Here is a 16,425-nt window from a genome sequence, read left to right on the forward strand (position 1 = left end):
GTCCCACCCAAGTCGGTTGTTCAGTATAGACAGTGCCATCTGCAGTCTGCAGGGCCGTCTTGCCCAGGTGGCCCCTTCTTCTGTTGGCTGGATGGGGCACTCTGTTCTGACCACCTTCTGTCTCCTTCCAGGCCACATCCTTTTTCCTGAGCACTGAGAGCATCACCCCACATTTTTAGAAACCTCAGCACCTCTATCTTACCCCATCCATTGCCTTTGGTACCACTCGAACCTCTTTCTATTCCTCCTCTCCTAAGTTCTCAGGCCAACCCAAGTGCCAGCTACCCCCTGTAGGTTTCCTCCACTGGGACAATGTTACACAAATATGAAAACAGGACTTTCTTCAAAGAAAATTCACAAAGGACCCACATATTTTGCTGCTGTTGTGGGGTTCAGTCTGGTTTGTTACCTGAGGCCTGCCAACAGAGAGACTGTGCAGTGGACACACCTGTGTGGTTTCAGAATGACTTCTCTGTGCTGGGCCCAGTGGCTCTTGCCTCTTTTACCAGCACTTTGGGAGGTCTAGGCAGAAGGATCCGTTGGGCCCAAGAATTTGAGAACAGGCTCAGCAACATAGTGAGACTCCGTCTCTTAAAAAAATTATAAAAGAATGCCTCTCCACTTCTGCTTCCTCATTGTAAGCTGACATCACTGTAGGGTTTGCATGCATTGCTGTCCCTGGAGGTCTCTCTGGTTGGCTCCATGCTTGTCCAGGGCGTGAGTTTGCTCTATCTCAGCATGCTCTGGTGGTCAGCATGCTGTCCATTTTGAGCATTTTGTGACATTTGTCACCAGCAGCCAGCAGCAGGACAGGGCGCCAGCCTGAATTTCCTCCTTTCTTGTGGGCACTTCTCTCTCTGGCTGGCTGCTCCTCCTCCTCTCAGGGTTTTATCCTTGGCTTACAGTTTTGACCAGTGGTTCTCAACAGTGATTGTGCCATCTCAGGGACATTTGGAAATGCCTGGGGGACATTTCTGGCTGTGATAGCTGGAGAGGGAGGTGCTACTGACATTCGGTGGGTGAAGCCCTGGGATACTTCTTACCTCCTCCAGTGCACAGGACGGGCCACCACAGAGGACTATGTGGTGCAATGTCAGGAGTGTCGATGCTGAGAAGCCTGCATTGTATGCTCATGCACGGGCCCATAACTTTCAGATGGTGCTTATACGAACACCCACAGACTTGCCTCCGTATCTGTGAACCAGATTTGTATATTTACCTAGATGACACCCCACTTGGAGACGGAATGGACATTTCAAAGTCAGTAGCCACACAGGAGTCTCTTCAGCCTTCCTGCATCCCAGGGGTGGCAACACGCTGTGAGTTGTCTTTTTCTATCCCCAAACCTAGGAGTTCTCCTTGGTGCCCCCTTCATGGGTCCCTCAGTTTCATCAAACACCTTAGGATCCTGTAGATTCCTGTTCCTCTCATCTCCACTGCTAGCCAGCCAGCATCATTTCTCTTCTGAGCAAAGCTTCACTGGGTTTTGTTCTAGATGTGACAGGAAGCTCTTGTGGGAGTTTTAAGCAGAAAAATGGTCAGATTTCCTTTTTAAGTTAAGCCTGATGATGGGTGAGGAAGAGGTTATAGGGTGCGGGGTGTGTGTAGGACCTAACTCCTTTCCACGGGCTGCAAAATCTTCTGTGCTTGGGATCTGCCACCCCCTGCTTCTGTCGTCATGCCCACTGGTCTTCCACCCTTGGGCCCAGTTCATTCTTACCACAGGATATTTGCACTTGTTTCGTCTGCAGCCTGGTCTCTCTCACCCCATCCAAGAACTCCCTCTTCAGAGAGCTCCACCCCAACCCCCCATTTAAAGCAAACTCCAGCCAGGTGCTGTAGCTCATGCCTCTAATCCCAACACTTTGGGAGGCTGAGGTGGGAGCATCACTTGAGGCCAGGAGTTCAAGACCAGCTCAACATAGTGAGACTCCCCACCTCATCTCTACCAAAAATTTAAAAATGAGCCAGGTATGGTGGGGTCTGCCTGTAGTCCCAGCTACTTGGGAGGCTGAGTGGGGAGGATTGCTTAAGTTTGCTCGTTCAAGGGTGAAGTGAGCTCTGATCACACCATTGTACTCTAGCCTGGGCATCAAAGCCAAACCCTGTCTCTGAAACAAAACCAAACAGAGCAGAACCAGGTTGTTTTGGCAGCATCTGATGTAGCATGGCTTGTGAGCAGGCCTCTGCGGAGGCATCTTTCTTCAGTCTAGTGTCTGTGTGGCCGCCAGTCTGAGTAGAGAGAATCCTGACGTCCATAGGATGGGTCCTAGAAGTTGACATCTCGGTGGGTTTTTTTTTTTTACCCACTTTACAATGACACCTGGAGCTCTTTGAATTAAGAGCATCCTTTCAGACCACTTTCAGTGAAAAATCTTCTATTTCTGGAATGAACGTCTTTTGAATATGTCCTGATAAACCCATCATAATTTGAAAGTACTAAAGTCAAAAATGCATTCAATACACCTCACCTACCAAACATCATACCCTACCTTAAACTCGTTCTGAACACTTACATTTGCCCACAGTTGGGCGAAATCATCCAACACAAAGCCCACTTTATAGTGTTATCTCATAAAATACATTGAATACTACTGTACTGAAAGTCAGAACCAGTATGGTTGCATGGGTACTTGAGGTATGGTTTTTGCTGAATGAGTGTGACTTTTGCACCATCTTAAAGTTGAAAAATGCTAAGTCAGGTCATTGTAAGTCGGGGACCATTTGTCTAAGTTATGTGGAATTGACAACACGTATAGATTCATACACCCGCCACCATAATCCAGGTGCAGAACTATTCCGTAACTACAGGGAAACTTCCTTATGCCACTCCTCTAACTGTTCGCAGCCACTGTATTGTCTACCTCTGTAATTTTGTCATTTCTTTTTTTTTTTTTTTCTCTTTGAGATGGAGTTCTTCCTCTGTTGCCCAGGCTGGAGTTCAGTGGCATGATATCAGCTCACTGCAACCTCTGCCTCCTGGGCTCTAGAATTTTCCTGCCTCAGCCTCCCTAGTAGCTGGGATTAGAGGCGCCCACCACCACACCTGTTAATTTCTGTATTTTTAGTACAAACAGGGTCTTGCCATGTTGGCCAGGCTGGTCAGGCTGGTCTTGAACTCCTGACCTCAGGTGATCTGCCTGCTTCAGCCTCCCAAACTTCTAAGAGGACAGGTGTGAGCCACCGTACCCAGCCAATATTGTCATTTCAAGCGTGTTAGGTAAATGGAATCATACAGCATATGGTCTTCAGACTGCCTTCATCCACTCATCCTGATGTGTGAGATCCATCCCAGTTATGCAGATCGATAGCTCGATCCTTTTTCTTTCTGAGTGGCTTTTCATGGCATGGACGTACCCAGGTCGATTTCTCCATTTTCTCATGGAAGGGTGTTTGGGTTGTTTCCAGTTTGAGGCTGTAAACACCTGGGGAGAGGTTTTGGTGCAGATCAGATGCTGCTCGAAGCCCTCATTTATTGTTCTTGCAGCCCTGTGTGTGTGTTGGGGTGGAGGTGGCTAGTGGTAGGCTTTCTCCCAAGCAGTGCATGTGTTGGGTAGATGCCAGGACTGTTGCAGGCAGTGTAATCTCTAGGAACAGGTTTATGCATGGACCTGGGCAACTGGGGAGCACAAACTCAGAACCACACCCATCAGGAGGGATTGACCTGAGTAATGTGCTGATGCATGTCATTAAGACAGTGACAGATACCTTGCTTGGATGAATAATTGGAATTCATGTCAACCATGTGGACTTTCCCATAATTTAAAGCCAATTTGCATGTTTTTTGGGCTCATACTTTTTTCATTAATTACATGTAAACTTGGGATAAACACCTTTCTTGACTTTCTGTTAAAAAAATTACAGTTCTTAAAATTATAAGCTTGTATAACATGGGATGGTCAGTTTTTAGAAAATCTAGTTCTTTGATCTTTGAAAAACACTACATAAAAAACAGAAAAGACTCCAGGGTTTGGTGACTAGCACCTGTAATCCCAGAACTTTGGGAGGCTGAGGTAAGAGAATCATTTGAGCTAAGGAGTTTGAGACCAGCCTGGGCAACATGGTAAGGCCCTGTTTCTACATAAAAATTTAAAAATTAGCTGGGCGTGGAGGTGCGCGCCTGTAATCCCAGCTACTTGGGAGGCTGAGGTGGGAGAATCTGTTGAGCCCAGGAAGTCGAGCCTTCAGTGAGTCGTGATTGCACCACTGCACTCCAGCCTGGGTGACAGAGCAAGACCCTGCCTCAAAAACATAAATAAATAAATAAATAAATAAATAAATAAATACCAAAAAAAAGACCTATCCTTATTTTATGAGGCCTTGATTTTTAAATGTGCCCAGTGTTCATTTGAATCTGCCCATCAGTTAGTCTTTTCCTGATGTCTCAGAGAAACATGCATGGTGTATGGAATGTCTTGGGTGACCAAGAGTGGCACCTTCAAGAGGACTGCCCTGTGAATATGGCCCCACATTCGGCTCTTGGGCACTTGAAAAGTGTGGCCATTGTGACTGAGAAACAGAATTGTGAATGTTACTTAATTTGCATGTGTTTAAGATGTGGCCTGTAATCCCAGCACTTTGGGAGGCTGAGGCAGGGAGATCACGACGTCATGGCTAACACAGTGAAACCCCATCTCTACTAAAAATACAAAAAAATTAGCCAGGCATGGTGGTAGATGCCTGTAGTCCCAGCTACTCGGGAGGCTGAGGTCGGAGAATGGCATGAACCCAGGAGGCAGAACTTGCAGTGAGCCGAGATCGTGCCAGTGCACTCCAGCCTGGGTGACTCCATTTCAAAAAAAAATCAAAAATGTGACCAGCGGCTACTCTTCTTGGACAGAGCAGACCGATAAACAGTCTGGCTTGATGGATGAGGGTGGGGAGTTCCGCAGTTCTCGTAGGAGGCATAGTGAGCTTCTGTAAGAGCCAGCCTTACCTGGGTTTGATTTTAGATGCCTGAAAACACTGATACCGAATTCCTTTAGAATAGCGCTTCTCAAAGTGGGTGACTTTGTATCCTTCCCATCCCACAAGGGACATCTCACAGTGTCTGGAGGCATATTTTTGTGGTGACAGTGGGTATTACTGGCATCTAATGAGTAGAGGTGGGGCTCAACATTTCACAGTGCACAGGACAGCCTCATAAAAAGAAATCATCCAGCGCCAGATACACCGTGGTGGAGGAGCCCTGCTTTCTATTCCCAAGGCTGGTACAGTCCTAACATATGATGTGGACAGTGCAGACCCAGCTTTTTATAAGTGAAGAGATGGCACTTGAGCAGTCGTGCAGCCTGGCAGTGCCAAGGGCAGGACAGTAGGTCAGGTCTGACTCCGTGTAGCTTCTCAGGCAGTGTTCTCTTCTTCCCTCTGCGACTCTAATTTGTATTAAGGGTAAAAATATGAAGTTGATGCTTGTCATGAATCACACAGCAGCAATCTTTCATGCTTTGGTCTAATAACTTTATTGTTAAGAGAGAAACAGAAAACTCTTTGCCTCTGCACTTTCTCCAAAATTGAATTTAGGGAAAGCTGACCCTAGACCATGCATGCCCTTTCTACCAGCATTGCTATGGGTTCCACTAATGGGAGATTGATGAGGAAGTGGGGATGACCGTGCTGTACAGAAGTGCTGTCATCACTTTTATGCTTGCTTTTTTACCCCATGATAATTAGAAAGCATTTACAAAGTTCCTGTTCCTCTTTTGTAAATCATCCTTGTTAAGTGCTGAGGTGAAAGTTTTAATTTTTTTTCCTTCTTGGAGACAGGGTCTTACTCTGTTGCCCAAACTGGAGTGCAGTGGTGCAATCATTGCTCACTGCAGCCTTGAGCTATTGGGCTTAAGTGATTTTTCCAACCCAGAATCTTAAAATGCCAACAGTAACCCCCCACACAGAATGCTGCCATTTAAAGGTGGCACTGGTATTGAGAAGCACACATTGTCAGTGTCACCAACTTTGCCAGGCGTGAGCCTAGAGAAAGGAGCATGTGGGGAGACAGAAAGTGGCAGTAGAGCTCTGTCAACAGCACTGAGTAGAACCAGACGCCTGCATTAAGATAAATGTTACTCTTGCTCAGTACAAATGGGTCACCTGTGACAGATGCAGGGGTGGCATCATGGAACTGAACTGGCCATTTCTTTTTTTTTTTTTTTTTTTTTTTTTGAGATGGAGTTTTGCGCGGTCACCCAGGCTGGAGTGCAGTGGCGCGATCTCAGCTCACTGCAAGCTCCGCCTCCCGGGCTCACACCATTCTCCTGCCTCAGCCTCCCGAGTAGCTGGGACTACAGGTGCCCACCACCACGCCTGGCTAATTTTTTGTATTTTAGTAGAAACGGGATTTCACTGTGTTAGACAGGATGGTCTTGATCTCCTGACCTCGTTATCTACCTGCCTCAGCCTCCCAAAGTGCTGGGATTACAGGCGTGAGACACCGCGCCCGGCCTGCTTTATTTTAGAAAGTGGGTATAGTGGTCTGTTTCAGAAGACTCAAGTCTACACCACCTCTGCCACTGAAGTTCCTTTTGACCATGCAGAAATCTTTGCAGAAATCTTTGCCTTTCATCTCCTTCCTAAAATGCTGTGAGCACTTTTCCTCCTGGTGGCATTAATTGGGAATGGCAATGAAAGCCCACTTCTTCACAGTCCTTTGGCCCACATGCATTTCCAGCTGCTCAGTGGCCAGACTGGATTCTAAATGCCAAAAGCTACAGACACTGACAGAGTGCTTTTGAAAAGAAATAATGCATGAAATACTCCAAATTTATGGGAAATATTTATACCCAGAAGTCTTTGAGCCAAGTTTGTCCTTTAGGAACAGTGCTGCCAGACAACCATCAGCATGGCTCACTCCTGGTGGTGCAAGGATATTCTTCTTAGATGTGAGCTCTGATGTTCTACTGACATGTGTGCCCAAGAAAGCAGGGATGAGACAGCCCATAACCCTGGCTCCAGTATTGTTAAGGATGGCCCCTGATTGGGTTTCATGCATTAGTCACTGTCCTTGTTTGTTAATGGGCTGAGTTGGGTCCACTTCAACGGAGATGTATTTAAATACATCCCAACCTTTTGGATCTTGGACTGTGAGCTTATTTGGAGGTGGGATCTTAACCAACTTAAAGGGAGGGTGAGTGGCATCCTTAGAAAAGGAGAAAATTTGGACACGCTCATACAGGGAAAAGGCCATGTGAACAGCCACCTCCAAGCCAAGGAGACAGAACTGATTCTCCCTCACCACCTTTAGAAGGAACTAACCCTACCAGTGCGTTGATCTCTGAATTCTGTATTCCAGAACTGTGAGAGAGTAAGTGTTGGTTAAGCCACCCCACTTGTGGTACTTTGTTTTGGTGGGCCTATGAAACTCACCCAGTGTTACTAGTCTTTTACATATATTTCGGTCCATGAAATGCAGCCAGCATGGCAATGCCTCAACTTACAGAAATGGAGAAGGGAAAGAATATTGTGCTTCAGCTAGTTTTCTCGTTACCCAGAAAAGAAAAAAATCTGACCTCTGAAACCTTGGGGAATGTCTTCTTAAGATGCCAGAGCCCATATGTCTGCCTAGTCCATGCAGAGCCTGTACTTCTGCCTGGTCCAGGTGTATGCCACACTGGGCATCACCTCTCTCTGCCCAAGTGGCACTGGACGATGTCCAAGTCTGGTCAGATCTGGATGGGTTTGATAAATAGCTCATGCTGTTTCTGGTCAGTGAAGAAAGAGGAAGCCCAAGCCATGTGCGTAAGTTTGCTCTGGCTGCCATAACAAAGTTCCTCTAAGGCTAAAAGAGAAGTCCAAAATCAAAGTATTAGGAAGCAGCCCTCCTGAGGGCTATGAGGCAAGATCTGTTCCGTGCCTGTCTCCTAGCTTCTGGTGGTTGCTGGCAGGCTTTGGTGTCCCTTGGCTTGTAGCTGCATGATGCATATCTCTGCCTTCATTTCCACATGGCCTTCTTCCTGTGTGCACCTCTGTGTCCAAATTTCCCTTTGTATAAGGACACCAGTCATATTGGCTTAGAGCTCTGACCTAAGCCTATCTTAGATCAGACCTATCTTAACCAGTTTACATCTGCAAAGACCCTATTTCCCAATAAGGATTCACTCTCAGGAGCCAGGTATTAGGATTTCAGTATACCCCTTGGGAGGAGCACTCTTGAACCCGTAACACCATCAATTGAAAGGTTCTGCTTTCTCCCCATAAACATTGCTGCCAGATTAGGAAAAGCTGCCAGGGTGCACTTGGTGGAGGAGGGTCTCTCTCAGCAGGGCACGGTCATTGCAGTGAAAAGGAGAGAGAAACAGAGGCACACAAAAGCAGATGGATTTCCTTGGTAGTGGTGACTAGCCTGGAGTTAGCGCCTCTCATTTTACATTTCTGGGACATCCCCTGACTCTTTTATTCTGCTCTTCGCTCTTTTCCATCCCTCTGGCCCGCAGATGGGCAGGAAGGAATCCCAGTAAATGAGTTCCTTGGAATTGCAACTTGGCCTGGGACCGTGTCTTTATTTTAGATAGAAATATTGACAATTTCTGTTTATGAAAACTCAAAGGCATAATTGCAACATGATTTTTTCTTCCTTTTCTCATTATTTCATCCAATTGCTGTCTTTTTGAGAGGAGATTAGGAGCACAGTGATACTCTATACTGTGTACAGCTGTCATATATAGAACTGTCTACAATGGCTCACGTTACCATTAAACTTCAGTTATGTGACATCAAGGTTATGAAACGTAAAATGAATGATGACTAGGTAGAAATCCTGGCTGTGTCCTCCAAGTTCCTTTTCTTTCTTTCTTTCTTTCTTTCTTTCTTTCTTTCTTTCTTTCTTTCTTTCTTTCTTTCTTTCTTTCTTTTTGTAGATAGGGAATATCTGCATTTCAGCTTAGGTTGCCACCAGTTGTCTGGTTTCTTGACTATGCTGAATAATTTTCACCCACACCTTGCATCCCTTAGAAGCCCTTCTTTTTTAAAAAAAAAAAATTTAACTTAATTTTATTTTAAGTCCCAAGATGTGCAGGACATTCAGGCTTTTTACATAGGTAAATGTGTGCCATGGTCATTTGCTGCATCTATCAACCCATCACCTAGGTATTAAGCCCAGCATGCAATAGCTATTTGTCCTGATGCTCTCCCTCCCCCCACACCCCTACACCAGCCCCCAATGTGTGATGTTACCCTCCCTGTGTCTGTGTGTTCTCATTCTTCAGCTCCTACTTATGAGTGAGAACATGCAGTGTTTGTTTTTCTGTTCTTGTGTTAGTTTGCTGAAGATCATGACTTCCAGAGAAGCCCTTCTTGATTCTGAGATGGAGGCTCAGAAGGCTTTGTCATGGGAGGTTATGAATTAGGAAACATGAAAATCAGATCAACAACAGTGGCTGGTCCTGGCTGCAGGGTTCTTCTGCTTGGAGTAGCTTGAAGTTGAATGTTAATGTACGTATTTAAATGGCCATTGCTTAATTAGGTAAAGTGAACAGGTGATTTTCTCACACTAAATGGATGATGAGTATTGGTTAGCATTGTCTAAAATTTCTCTATCTTTTGACCATATACAAATACATTAAATTTTACTTCTTATGCTATATATGCTGTCTTAATAAATGATGATGGACTGAGTTTTCTCCCTTTTGGAAATGTAAGGAAAGTCTCAATGATTTTAAGTATCTTATATTTTATAATAGCGATAGAATGTAGAATTCCTAAAAAATCAAACTGAGTTCTTGATTAAATATTGAAATGCTTGTCTTCATCCACCTGGGAGCAGTCACTGTGAATGAGAAGCCCCAGTGCATAAATCATTGAATGATATATTGGAGAAGTCTCCAAGTAAAGGAAGATTTGTTTACTTTTCAGACATCTGGAAGGTGAGCCTCAAAGCAGGTGAATGGCTGGCTCTCGGATTCAGGCTTCCCTGAAGTATATCTTTCTCCTTTAAAATAAGCCACGACACAATTTTTAATTAATTATTCAGGAGGAGTCATTAATGCGAATGGAGAAAGAGCTCATTATAGTAATGTTTTCACATGCGTTCTGTGGTTTGGTGCCACAGGCTCCTCGGGTCCCGGCTAAACTGTTGTTCCAGGATCTGTTTTATTGATGTGAAACCCACTCACCACCTTTTTTTAGAATTATTTGTTTTAGAATAATTACCTAGTGATTTCATACACAATAACAATTGTACTCTTTTAAAAGATCTGTAAATGCATGTATGCTCATGTGTATAGATAACTGTTGCATATACAAATGTGCTTTTTTATATGTGTGAATTTGTGGACAATAGTTTTTCATCACTAAAATATCAAGTCCATGAGTTTGGATCTTGTACACTCTCACAGCACATGGAGGGAGACAGTGGGGACATGCTGGACCCGGGCTGAGCCTGGTAACCATCTGGAGGGGACTGCAGAGGTTGACACCCAGAGCCAGAGCTCAGCAGAGGGATCTTTTCCTACCTGCAGTTTCCTTGGAAGAGTAGGGTTCAAGCTTACTGTGTTGGGCTGCTATAGCAACGTTGCCACCAACTGGATGGCCTAATACATGTATGGTCTCCCAGTTTTGGAGACCAGAAATGAAGAATCAATGCAGGGCCGAGGAAGATCCAAGGAAAATCCTTCCTGCATGCTCTTGCAGCTCCTGGTGTTGCTGGTGGTCCTTGGCTTGTGGGCCATCTCTGGCCTCGGTGGGCATGTGACCTCCCTGAGTGTCTCTGTCTTCTTGCAAGGATACCAGTCATGGTAGATTATGGTCCTACCCTGCTGCAGTGTGTCCTCCTCTTACTTTAACTTACTGCATCTCCAGTGATCCTTTTTGCAAATGAGGTTCTGAGGTGCTGCAGATTAGGACTCCAGCATGTCATTTTTGTGGACCCAGGTCACCCCATTACAGTAGTTATGTCCCACCCCATCCCATACCACCCTTCTGCCAATTCCCCTGGTGTACTTCAAGCTGGTTACGTGACCATACATGACCCAGGCCCACTGGCCATTAGACACTTTGGCAGGGTGGCTGAAGGAATTCTTTGTGCTGAGTAAAATGAATATGTAACAAGGCAGTACTCTGAGGGTAGTGTTGTGTGAAAGGGCAATATAGAATCATGGGTCCTGATAAACAGAAGCCTGTTTAGCAGCAAGGTCAAAAGCCAGATGCAGAAGTAGAAATTAACTGGGTAGACTTAAAATTTATTTTTTTTAATTTTGAGACGGTGTTTCGCTCTTGTTGCCCAGGCTGGAGTGCAGTAGTGCAATCTCAGTTCACTGCAACCTCTGCCTCCCAGGTTCAAGTGATTCTCCTGCCTCAGCCTCCCAAGTAGTTGGGGTTACAGCCGTGTGCTACCACTCCTGGCTAATTCAGGGTAGACTTTTTATTTCACCTTTTTTTTTTTTTTTTTTTTTGCCAGGGGAATGCCAGCTGTTCTCTTAACAGAAGGGCAGTTTTTGAAGAAATGAAGCAGGACTTGATGTGGATTGTCATAAACTGTTTCTCCCTAAAGAGGTAACTTCTCATGTTTGCTGGTTCACAGGTGTAGGGAGATGTCTTTGATGTGTAGATGTCTGAGTTTGCAGCTCAGGGTAGCTTTGGGTCTGGGACCCTGCTATTGACCAACCACTTGGTGTGCGTGGGCTGTTTTTCCATGTGATGGGACAGGGGAATGCTGTGTACATGGCCGCTGTTCCACTTGGAATGTTGGCTGAGCGCTGCTGGCCTGTGTCCCTGGAATCCTCTCTGATTCAGCCATCAAACATTAACTGAGAGGTCACAGCCACCAGCAGAGCTTCTGAACCTGGCCCTGTTCTGGCCAGAGGGTCAGGAAGAGAAGACGTTTTGCCCTTGCATTTTCTGTGTCTGGAATCAAAGGTTTTTTCCACTGAGTCTTGTGTGGTTTTCTTAGAAAGAAATGCTCTCCTGGGAGAGTCTTGGGTGCCAAGTGAAACATCTTTCAAGACCTGTGGCTTTTTTCAGGGAAATGTTAAACCAAGCAAATGTCTGCTAAGAAGAGTTCTGTATTTGAAAGTTCTTGCCGGGCATGGTGGCTCACGCCTGTAATCCCAGCGCTTTGGGAGGCCGAGACAGGTGTATCACCTGAGGTCAGGAGTTCGAAACCAGCCTGACCAACATGGAGAAACCCCGTCTCTACTAAAAATACAAAATTAGCTGGGCATTGTGGTGTGTGCCTGTAGTCTCAGCTACTTGGGAAGCTGAGGCAGGAGAATCACTTGAACCCAGGAGGCGGAGGTTGCAGTGAGCTGAGATCACACCACTGCACTCCAGCCTGGGCAACAAGAGGGAAACTCCATCTCAGAAACTTTTAAAAAAGAAAATTCTCAGTGTTAGGTGAAGGCTTGACCCTGGAATTTTCTCTCTTGGTGGTGGTGGCATCACATGATAAACAGGTGACCTGACTCAGGGCCCTGCAGGATCAGCTTCCAGTGGCAGTTGTGAAGGTAGGGATATGATTTCACATTCTCATTGGAACCCACACAGAAGATTCAGCTGCTTTTAGAGTATCTGTCAGTTCCATCCATCCTGGGTACGATGTCACACTCATAAACAAACTACACAGAAACTGGAATTTCACTTTGGAGGAAAAAAATTTAAATTCTGTTAGATAAGGTAAATACCAGTAGTTTAAAGCCACAAAGGATGTCTTTCTTTCAGGTAAAGCTACTCTTCTGTGCTCATACAATATGATAGAACAGCTGCTTACATTTTTTATGTCAAGAATTTCAGACCAGGTGTGGTGGCTCACACGTAGAATCCCAACACTTTGGGAGGCCAGGGCAGGTGGATCACTTGAGGCCAGGAGTTTGAGACCAGCCTGGCCAACATGGTGAAAGCATATTTCTACTAAAAATACAGTAATTAGCTGGTTGTGGTGGCAGGTGCCTGTAATCGCAGCTACTTGGGAGGCTGAGGCAGGAGGATTGCTTGAACCTGGGAGGCTTGAACCTTGCAACGAGTCAAGATTTTGCCACTGCACTCCAGCCTGGGTGACAGAGCAAGACGCGATCACCAAAAAAAAAAGGAATTTGCTAAAATAAATCGGAGAAGGTTAGGATTTACCTCATTGTAAGTCAAGAACTTTAGGCAGGGGCTTTTCTTCTAAGAAAAAATGTCATTTATTCCATTTAGACATGTAAATGCTTAGGTGAGCAGAACAAATTATTCTCTGGAGATTTAGAAAAAAAATCAGTCTGGTTTCTATGGCTGCATGAATCTGGAAGGTAAATTATTAACCCACTAGACTAAAATTTAACTAAAGACTACCTTATGGTGGCAGTCTGTTCAATAGGGCTTTTGTTAGCATGCTTGCATGAAGGCAGACAACTCAAACAATTATTGGCTTGGATGGGGAGCAAATGCATTGGGTTAGTTTCTGTGACATGTGTTCTCATTTCTACCAGTGTACTCCAGTTTCAGCCCCTGTATCAGTTATCTATTGATTGCTGTGTAACAAATAACCCCAAACTCAGCAGGTGAAAACTACAAACACTGATGATCTCACACATGTTCTGAGAATCAGGAATCCAGGTACAGCTTAGCCAAGTGGTTCTGGCTCAGGGTCTGTCACAAGGTTGCAGCCTGTGCTGCAGCCTCTGAGACCTCGTGTGGGGCTAGAGGATCAATTCTAAGCTCAGTAAGGGTGTCACAGCAGCAGAAGTGATGCAGCATCATGTGCAGCAATTCCGTTCGTCTCAGGGACCAACCTGATAAATATGGCACAGGCCGGTACTGGAATGTAAATGCCAAAAGCCGGAGCTCATGTGTGCCATTTGAGAAGCTGCCTATCGCGTTCCTGTTTATCTTTTGCATGCATAAATTGGGACCTTGGTTAGAGAATAGCTCCTGTTGAGTCCGTAGTCATCCATCAGAAAATGCTAGGAAAAGTAGTTGTTGATTTAGCCACATTCATGCCCTCTCTTTGGAGCCATCAGAGCCCACAAATGGAGACTCTCCTTTAACAACTTAGCAGTCAGTTCATTAGAAAGTATTATTTCTCTAACCTGGGCAATATATTGAGACTCTGTCTCTACAAAAAAATAGAAATTAGCCAGGCGTGATAGTGTATTGCTGTAATTCCTGGAACTAAGGAGGCTGAGTTGGGAGGATCACTTGAGGCTTCAGTGAGTCATGATCACATCGGTGCATTCCAGCCTGGATGACAGAGCAAGACTATCCCAAAAATTAAAAAAAAAAAAATGAATGAATGAATGAATCACATACCTATTTTTTACTCTTAATTGTATTCTTGCACAGAAAAATAGTTTTGCCTCCAATCAAATCCATACAGTTACTGAGCCCCTAATGGTCGAACCTCCTCAGTTCCCACCTACACCATAAATTAGTATTAATCTTCTAGGTAATTTCACAACCACTGCTGCATCTCTGTGCTCCTTCTGCCTCAAGACATGTAGGAAATGTTGGCATTTCCCTTTCAAAAGAACGAAACAATTGAATAACCTTCTTTACAGTCCTTTGTGCACAATTAACTTAAAAAGTTAATGAGAATATTTTTCTCCAAACACGTTCACAAAGTTTACATTTTCCCTTTTACTCATGATGTCAGTCCCTTTGTTGGTCTTGGCTCTCACAGCACTAAGATCATTCATCCATTTGTTCATTGGGCAGATGTTTATTGAATACCTATGGGTCCAAGGCACTGGTCCCAGAAGACAAGGCCATGAGGACAGAGCACAGTACTAAGGGCAAACAATTTTCTCAACAGTGATTTGAGGCCCATGAGATTTGAACAAATGAGCCTCCTGAGAGCAAGTTCTGGACACTCAGCCTGCCTTAGTGGACATATTGCAGGTTCCTAAGATTTTAGAGTTGGGAGGGAATCTTTGAGATTCGCTTGTAGCCCTTACATGTTCTAGACACGGCAGATGTCCAGTGAGGAGGTGGCTTCCTCTAGTGGAGAGCTGAAGGTGGGATGAGGCAGTGTTGGTTTTGGCACCACGTCACCTAGGCACTTCTGTTACCTGGAAACAAGGCAGAGCTTTGCTTTGGCATGCAGCTTGGTGGTACCAGCATGTTTTTGTCTTCACAGTGACATGACCGTGGCTCTGAGACCTGAGGCTTAGATGGCAGCCCCACTTCCGGCTTTAATTTTTCCCTGGAGAGTTCTCACCTTCCCTGCTTTCCAAGCCTACCTGAGATGGGCAACCAAAATTTCCCAAGGCAGGAAATAGTTGAAAATAGAAGTAGAATATGAAAGAGGATGGCTTTCATTTGTTTTTTTTTTTTTTTTTTCCTTTTCTTCTCTCTCTGACTCTGTGTTTTTCTTTCCTCATCACTCACAAATAGCATCTACTTATTCAAGCCTTTCCTTCCCTTCTTCTCTTCCTCCCTCCTTCCCTTCTTTCCTTCCTTTCTTACCCCCTCCCCTCCCCTCCCTTCCCCTCCTCTCCTCTCCCCCGTCTTCTCTCCTCCCTTCCTTTTCTTCCTTACTGCCATCGTCTTTTCTCCCTGCCTCCCTTCATGAATCATTTTCCTGGCCAATTCAATCGACTGAGAAAATCCTTGGAGAAATGGCCATATTTCTTTAACACTGGGTTCCTTTCAGGGCTCAAGATTCCATTTTTTTTCTCAGTATTTTCTCCTACAGAATAGGAGTCTTCTTCATGCTACAATGTGCACTGTGTACAGAAACTGTGAATAGAGAAGTAGCCATTCTTCTTGCTAAGTTTCTTTCAGAAGGTGGTTCCACATAGATGACTTTCACTCTGAACTCAGTATCATGGGGCATGTGTGTGCCCACACATTGCCAGTTTCAGTTGTGGGCAAACAGAACTAATACTCTCTCACCAAGATAAACATACAAGGAAAGCACTCTATCTTTGTGCAGCATCATTTGCATCCTATAAAATAATGGCTTCTTAAAGCCGACCTGTCTTATGGGTGGTTTTTAATTAGTCCAAGCAGAACCTAATGTGGCCACTAATATTCCACTTGCTAAAACAAGGACAGTCGAATTCGATCTGTCATCATTGATTAGATGCATGCAGTCACCCAATGCTGTTTGCCCAAGCATCTGTAGGCATAGATTCCCCAGTGCTGATTCCCCAATTCTTGTAAGGGGCAGGACTTAATTAAATCTTAAAGTGACAGCTGAAAATTTAAGGGTCAGGAAGTCATGTCTAAAACAGGATTGATTATAACAATAATAATAGCAGCAACTAAGACTAAACCTGGTTCAGGCTATTTATTTATGAGGCTGAGTCTCACTCTGTCACCCAGGCTGGAGTGCAGTGGCACGATCTCAGCTTACTGCGGCCTCTGCCGTCCAGGTTCAAGTGAGTCTCCTGCCTCCGCCTCCTGAGTAGCTGGGATTACAGATGCCCACTACCACACCTGGCTAATTTTTGTATTTTCAGTAGAGATGGGGTTTCACCATGTTGGCCAGGCTGGTCTCAAACTCCTGACCTCAAGTGT

General features: G+C 45.0%; 1 protein-coding gene across 3 annotated transcripts in view; it reads left to right on the top strand.

Moving 5' to 3' along the window:
* TBL1Y (transducin beta like 1 Y-linked) overlaps positions 1–16,425 on the top strand; it is a 180,987-nt gene that overhangs the window by 73,718 nt on the left and 90,844 nt on the right. For 2 of the 3 annotated variants that reach the window (NM_033284.2, NM_134258.2), the window contains one exon: positions 11,390–11,484. The exons of the other annotated variant lie outside the window; for it this stretch is intronic. The gene's annotated coding sequence lies outside the window, so the exon portion shown is untranslated. The remainder of the gene's footprint in view (positions 1–11,389; positions 11,485–16,425) is intronic. 3 annotated transcript variants of the gene reach the window in all.

Source organism: Homo sapiens, chromosome Y, assembly GCF_000001405.40.
Source record: "Homo sapiens chromosome Y, GRCh38.p14 Primary Assembly".
NCBI lineage: Eukaryota > Metazoa > Chordata > Mammalia > Primates > Hominidae > Homo > Homo sapiens.